This window comes from Homo sapiens, chromosome 15, assembly GCF_000001405.40.
Source record: "Homo sapiens chromosome 15, GRCh38.p14 Primary Assembly".
Classification (NCBI taxonomy): domain Eukaryota; kingdom Metazoa; phylum Chordata; class Mammalia; order Primates; family Hominidae; genus Homo; species Homo sapiens.
The window spans coordinates 65085539-65091927 of record NC_000015.10 but is presented as its reverse complement, the minus strand read 5'-3'; the positions used below and the strand labels follow the sequence as shown (position 1 = coordinate 65091927).

Genomic DNA, 6389 nt, shown 5'->3' with positions numbered 1-6389 from the left:
ATTCTTTGGCCTTAAAACTTGCCTTGAATAACTTGCAGGCAGCACAAAACTATTAGAGAAAATGGGCAAGATGTTGTAAAGTTGGACATATGTCTGTCTGTTGCCAAAAGTAAAACTACACTTGAAAGAGACAGTAAAATTAAAGTTCAATTTCTAAGATGCAATGTTAGGTCCAAAGCTATTTATGTTCTGATTAAGGTAACCTGGCCTTGGTCCACCACTTTACTAAGTCCCCTTGATTAGAGGCGACCAGTTGACAGGCCCATCCATAATTCCTATCTTTCTCCCACATGCCTCAAATCTGCCCATCCCTAGCAAACTGTTGCTTGATTAAAAATGTGACATCTGGCCAGGTGTGGTGACTCACCCATGTAATCCCAGCACTTTGGGAGGCCGAGGCGGGCGGATCATTTGAGACCAGGAGTTTGAGACCAGCCTGGCCAACATGGCAAAACCCCGTCTCTACTAAAAATACAAAGATTGGCCAGGTGTGGTGGTGCATGCCTGTAATCCCAGCTACTCGGGAGGCTGAGGCAGGAGAATCGCTTGAACCCGGGAGGCGGAGGTTGCAGTGAGCCAAGATTGAGCCATTGCACACCAGCCTGGCGACAGAACAAGACTCCGTCTCAAAAAAAAAAAATCAGACATTAGAGACAGGAAGGTTGCTTGAGTTTGAGGATATAGTGAGCTACCACAGTGCCACTGCACTCCATAGTGAGAGTCTGTCTCCAGAAAAAAAAGAGAGACATCAGTGGGCAAATTGTTCATTTAAAATATTTTTTAGGAGGTACAATAGTGTGGTAGTTAGGGGCACGAACTCTGAAGTCAGATGTGGGCTGAAACTACAGCCTTAGCACTAACCAGCCGTGTGACCTTTTGAACATCACATAGCCTCTCTGTGCCTCAGTGTCTTATCCATAAAATACAGATACTGAAACTTTCCAGTTGTGATGATTGAGCAGGATAGTGTGCAGGAAGATTGTGCCATGGTATCCAGTAGCCACTTATTTATACATATTTATACCCTGCCTCATTCCATCATCATTACCTTTACTATGATCATCCTCCTCATCACTTTTATGGTTAACAAACCTCCAGCATTTATCATCAAACTCAGAAACCCTGGGAGAACCACTCGCTGCCTCTCAGGTCAGCAGGGTTAACGAAGGTATCTGGCTGGAGCAGAGGATTCTGGGAGTGCCACCTGGGAGAAGGACAATCTTTACAGTTAATACTAAGGATCAGGTGGCTGCCTTGGTGCGTCCTTGAAACAGCAGCAGTTGACACACTCAAGCATGGTCTGGACAAGAGGACCCTCAGAGAGGAGGTCAGGAGGATGGCAGGGTCCAGGTTCCAGGAGCAAGCCAAGGCCTGGCCCATGTAAGGAGAATGAAGCGAGTTCTGCCCTGGTTCTTGCTCTCCCTCCTGTCCCCTTATGCTTTGTCTCCTCTTCTGGGTCCCCACCATGTTCCCGCAGAGGCCCAGTGGAGCAGGCTGAAGGCAGCCTTTTGACTCTGACAGGAGGGATGTCTCCTAACCCATTCGGGCTGAGATCTCAAGGCCTTTAGGTGTTCCCTTTCTGGGGAAATGTGCACAGTGCCCTCTATCTGGTTGACTTTCTGCCTCCTTCTTAGAAGGACCCTCGTGATTCCACTGGGCCCACCCAGATAATCCAGAACAATCTCCCACCTCAAGATCCTTAATCACGGCCGGGTGCAGTGGCTCACACCTGTAATCCCAGCACTTTGGGAGGCCGAGGCAGGTGGATCACTTGAGGTCAGGAGTTCGAGACCAGCCTGGCCAACATGGTGAAACTCTGTCTCTACTAAAAATACAAAGATTAGCTGGGCGTCGTGGCGCGTGCCTGTAATCCCAGCTACTTGGGAGGCTGAGGCAGGAGAATTGTGGAGGTTGCAGTGAGCTGAGATTGTAGCACTGCACTCCAACCTGGGTGACAGAGTGAGACTTCACCTCAAAAAAAAAAAAAAAATCCTTAATCACACCTACAAAGTCCAAGTAACAGATTCACAGGTTCTAGGAATTAGGACGTGGATGTCTTTGGGGGGCCATTATTCAGCCTACCACAGAGAGGCACTGCTTAACCCAAAATAATATATGTGTAATGGTGGCATTTCAGACAATTGTATCAGGGGGTTTCCTTGTGTCTTGTATTTGTATTATACAAGGCTGGGCCTCCAGGCAGGCTCCAGCACACACAGCTGCCGCCGATCCTCTCTCACCTCTGCTCTCTTGCTTCATCTCAAGTCAACCTTCCGCAGCTGATGACATTCTTCTGGCATGGGAGCAGCGCCAGCTGAGGGGCTGCCAGCACCTCCTATCAGCCCTGACCCTTCCACTCTGGGGGGAGGGAACACACTCTCAGGTCACTGTTGGCCTCCAAGGATCAACTGAGGTAAGGAGCCACTTCCCTCTTCTGGGACCCTCCTGCCCTCTCAGCCCTTTCCTTCCACTCTCCATCCCCCATGCTGCCCAGGCTGCCTAGGCTGCCTCTAGCTGCTCTGTCCTCCTGTCTTATCTGGAGATTAAAGAATTCCTTTGTTGACCTCTGCAGGGAACACTCTTTGCCTTTTAAGAGAGAACTTATGGGACAAGGCAATGCTTATTTAAGGATAATGGCTCATAAATGATGGGGTTTTAGGTACAGTGCAAGCTGTCAAAGGGAAGGCGTGACCTTCTCAGCTCTCTTCAAATGACCATCCATTCTGTGTCTATGCAGGACTCACCCCGAGAGGAACGTGGGGCTTTAGGAAGCTCAGGGAAGGATCTTTCCAAATGAGGGTTTGGGGAGGCTTCCAGAGTCCTTCCCTCAGTATAGGACCTCCTGGGGCGCTCCTCTGCTCACCCTCAGATCCCAAGGGCCAGGTCTTTAATCCTAGTGATGCTGGGGTCAGAAAAGTGCAGAGACAATCAGGACTCTCCCAGAAACACACATATTCTGTCACACACACACACTTTGACCTCGGGGGAGTGAAACTCTTCCACCCTATCAGGAGGACGTTGATGGTATGTGTGTCTTCACAATGGGGACAAAGGTGATCCTGGGCAGGGCAAAAACTGACTGCCCAGCCCTACCCACCTCCTCAGCCCCACGTTGGGCCGTCTGAGGAGAGAAGACGCTGCCCTGAGTTCCAGGTGCTATAGCCCAGGTGATGAGCCAAAACTTCTACCAGAGAACCCTTCATTTCCTAATTCTGTCACCCCACAAACCTTTACTGCACGTCATGCCAGCTGGTGCTAGGCCTGCTGGGCCCAGGAGTGGGGGAAGGTGGGATGAAGGATAGGAAATGGCCCCTGCCCTGGAGGGAGGGGGTTCCCAGGGTGAGGCTGCCAGGTGGGTTTGCGTGGCAGCTGGCTGAGAGCAGGTCAGTGCCTGTGCTGGCAGTGACACAGTGAAGGCGGAGGGACGGGCAGGCTTTGGCCCACAAGGGCCTCTGGCTCTTGCACGCAGCCAAGTCCCTCTGTGGAGTCAGGTCCTGGCCAGGCACCCTGCTGGCTCCACACTCAGCCCAGTGGTGGGGCACCCACCACTACCCCAGCCTCCTACTCTCCTGGTGGGTGGCCCTCCCTCCTGCCCATTCTCCTCCTGAACCTGTCCTTATAAGGCCACCCGCTCAGGAGACGTGCGTTCTGTGTCCTCTGGGCAGCTGCCCACACAACGTCATCTGCTGTTTTACTGCTCGAGATTTTTAACTTATGATTTTATTTTTTTGTCGTTAAGAAAATGTTTCCAGGTTGAGCAGAGACATTAACTGGGTGCCAGATGAGGGCAGAAGGATGAATGCCAGGGTGCTTGGGAGCCAGGGACCCAGGACTGACAGCCCCAGGGTGTGACTTAGCCACATATCCCAAATACTCCAGCAGCTGAACGATTCTAAGAACTCCAGCAGGCCCTGTGCGGGCCATTTCCCCTTAAGTGACACCCACTGAAGTTGGGGGAGGTGACCCTCCCCCAGCTGTGGGCCATCTTCTTGTGTTGTTAGAGTGCCCTGTGGTCCTCTGTCTAGGGGGTGAGCGCATGGTGCCCACACAAGGCCAGTCCAACACCGGGCTGGAGCGCTGGAATCTTGAGTATACACGTTCTGGGGCAGCCTCAGTGGGACTGTGTGCAGCTCCCGATGCTGTGGACTGTCCATTTCCAGCCAGGTGTGCTGGCCTTCCCAGGGAGCACTGAGCTACCCAAAGTCCTTCCAGTAAGATCCTGTTCTCCTGAACTTAGCCAAAGGTTTCCCTGGCTGACAACCAAAGCACCCTGCTGAGTGCAAGAGAACATAAGTAAAGGCAGTGGCAGTCAAGTGGGGCAGAGAGTGTGTGCTGTCTCCCTGTGAACTTACAGGAAGTTATGTTAAGCTGGATGAGGGAACCCTGGGCTGAGGCTGCCACCAGGAGGGACGCTATCTCCATCAGGGAGCTCACCTTGTGGTCCTAACTGCTGCAGGAGCTGGCTGCCTCCTTCGCTCTACTGTGAGGCCCTGGGGGCAGGGGCTGAACCTGGCTTGTCTCTCTGCCCCTGCGCCTGGCACAGCTTCTGGTTAGAGGATGTGCACAGAGTGTTTGCTGAAAGAAGAATAAGAAAAAGAGTGGGGGGAGAGGGGGGCCCAGGAGAGTCACCTGAGGAGTGGCCCATGCTGAAAGCGAGCTGCCTTCCAAAGGGTTGTCACTGAACTCCAGCTGAAAGACCCGCCAGAAGGGATTCAAGGAAGGTCTAGTACTTGGGATGACTACTAGTGAGGTGATTTCCGAGAAACAAGGCAGCCACCCCCGTTCCTCAGCACCCAGACTTCAGAGCCTGGAAGGACTGCAGGGCTGGGGCTGAAGAAGGGATCCCTGTCGTTGCTGGGAGGGTCCTGGTGTTGATCTGCACAGGCCCCCTGGTGCCCATGGAAGGGAGTGAGGTTCCAGCTGGTTCACACCCCCTGTGCTGTGCTCCTTTGGAAACCACATGGCACCTTTTGTATGGCAGCAAGGCAAGCAGAGACAAGTGTGCGTTGCTGTCCTTGAGCAGGCCAGCAGCAGTGGCCACACTCGGCAGTGGAGCAGATTGAACTCTGAGGAGAGCAGTGGGTGCTGCTGGGCAAGGAAGCCACCACCCCGTGCCTGTGATGAGGAGCTTTGATTTGTCATATCAACCCCAGGCCTGGTGGGGGCAGGTGGCCCATGAGACCGCCTAGAGGCAGTCCAGAGCTGTTTTGGGGGTTCAAGGTAGGAGACTGAACCTAAGAGAAGCGTCTTTAGCTCCCCAGGAGTGCAGGGACCTCAGTTACAGAGCTGGGGCCCATGGGTCACAGGGATGCCAAGTTCTTAGCATCTGGATCTTCAGTCAGACCCAGGGCTGGGGAGGCTGCCTGCACAGGTGAGAGGACTCACACACTTGCCTGTCCAGCAAAGCACTGTCCTCCCTCCACCAGAGGGGGCACCAGCCTTTGTCCCTAGAGTCATATTCTGCAGACAATGCCCTAATCAGGAGGAATGATGAGAGATCCTTTCAAGGCCAAAACTCTTTGGGGCTCCCAACTACACCAGGCAGTCATTAATTGCCTTCTCCATCTGAAGTCAGACTGACTGCTATCGCCAAGATACTCCACTGCCCATGCCTGAGGGCAGGGAGGTTTCTGGTTCACTGACACTGACAGCCAGGCTCTGCTCTACGCCCTGTCTGCGCTCTCTCTCATTTACTCTCCCAACAGCCCTTTCAGTTTAGGTTCTGCTGTCCTGACAGATGCCCACCTGAGGCTCAGAGAGGTTAAGCAACTGCTCAAGATCACACAGTCAGAAAGTATTAGAACTGGATTAGAATCCAGGAAGTCTGAGCCGCAGCTGGAGCCTCCCTGCCACTACACTGGCTCCCTTCACAGTGAGCCGGCACACACGTTCCCCCACCTGACCCCACAGCAAATGTATGCACCAGACACATCTCAACCACAGATACAAACTGGGGCTCAGAAAGGTGATGCAACCAGCCCCATGTCACCCAGCAAACAGGTGGCAGGGCTGGGCCTGAAGCAAGGATCCCCAGGGCTCCCTCTATGTACCTTGCAGGACCCCTTGGATAAATCTTGTAATGGTCCGGTCCAGCCAGGGTGGTGGAGGCCGGGGCTGCAGGCCTGCCTGGCCCCTCACTTGGGAGGGGGTGACAGAAGCTGTGCACTCTGGAGCTCATGCCATCTGGTTCTGTTTCCATTCCCAGCCACTCCTCGGAGAGCTTCTAAAGGTCAATCTTTTCCCCCTCAAATTCAAGTGCCTTGGGAGGCAAGGCCCTGGCTTCCGGTCACGGAGGCGCCACCTCTGCCTGTAAGACATTCCTCTGGTTCCCATAACTGTGTGATCAGGCAGAGGCACTGAGATGGGCATTTTCCAGTACACTGTGCCCC

General features: G+C 53.3%; 3 annotated features.

The window, feature by feature from the left end:
• Positions 4225-4866: an enhancer, noted in NCBI's record as "H3K4me1 hESC enhancer chr15:65379400-65380041 (GRCh37/hg19 assembly coordinates)". NCBI's record gives its function as "activates a minimal SCP1, AML or CMV promoter by ChIP-STARR-seq in naive H9 embryonic stem cells {active_cell/tissue: H9 hESC(naive)}" and the evidence as "EXISTENCE:reporter gene assay evidence [ECO:0000049][PMID:30033119]".
• Positions 5107-5346: an enhancer, noted in NCBI's record as "active region_9592". NCBI's record gives its function as "activates an Ori minimal core promoter by ATAC-STARR-seq in GM12878 lymphoblastoid cells {active_cell/tissue: GM12878}" and the evidence as "EXISTENCE:reporter gene assay evidence [ECO:0000049][PMID:35858748]".
• Positions 5532-6057: an enhancer, noted in NCBI's record as "H3K4me1 hESC enhancer chr15:65378209-65378734 (GRCh37/hg19 assembly coordinates)". NCBI's record gives its function as "activates a minimal SCP1, AML or CMV promoter by ChIP-STARR-seq in primed H9 embryonic stem cells {active_cell/tissue: H9 hESC(primed)}" and the evidence as "EXISTENCE:reporter gene assay evidence [ECO:0000049][PMID:30033119]".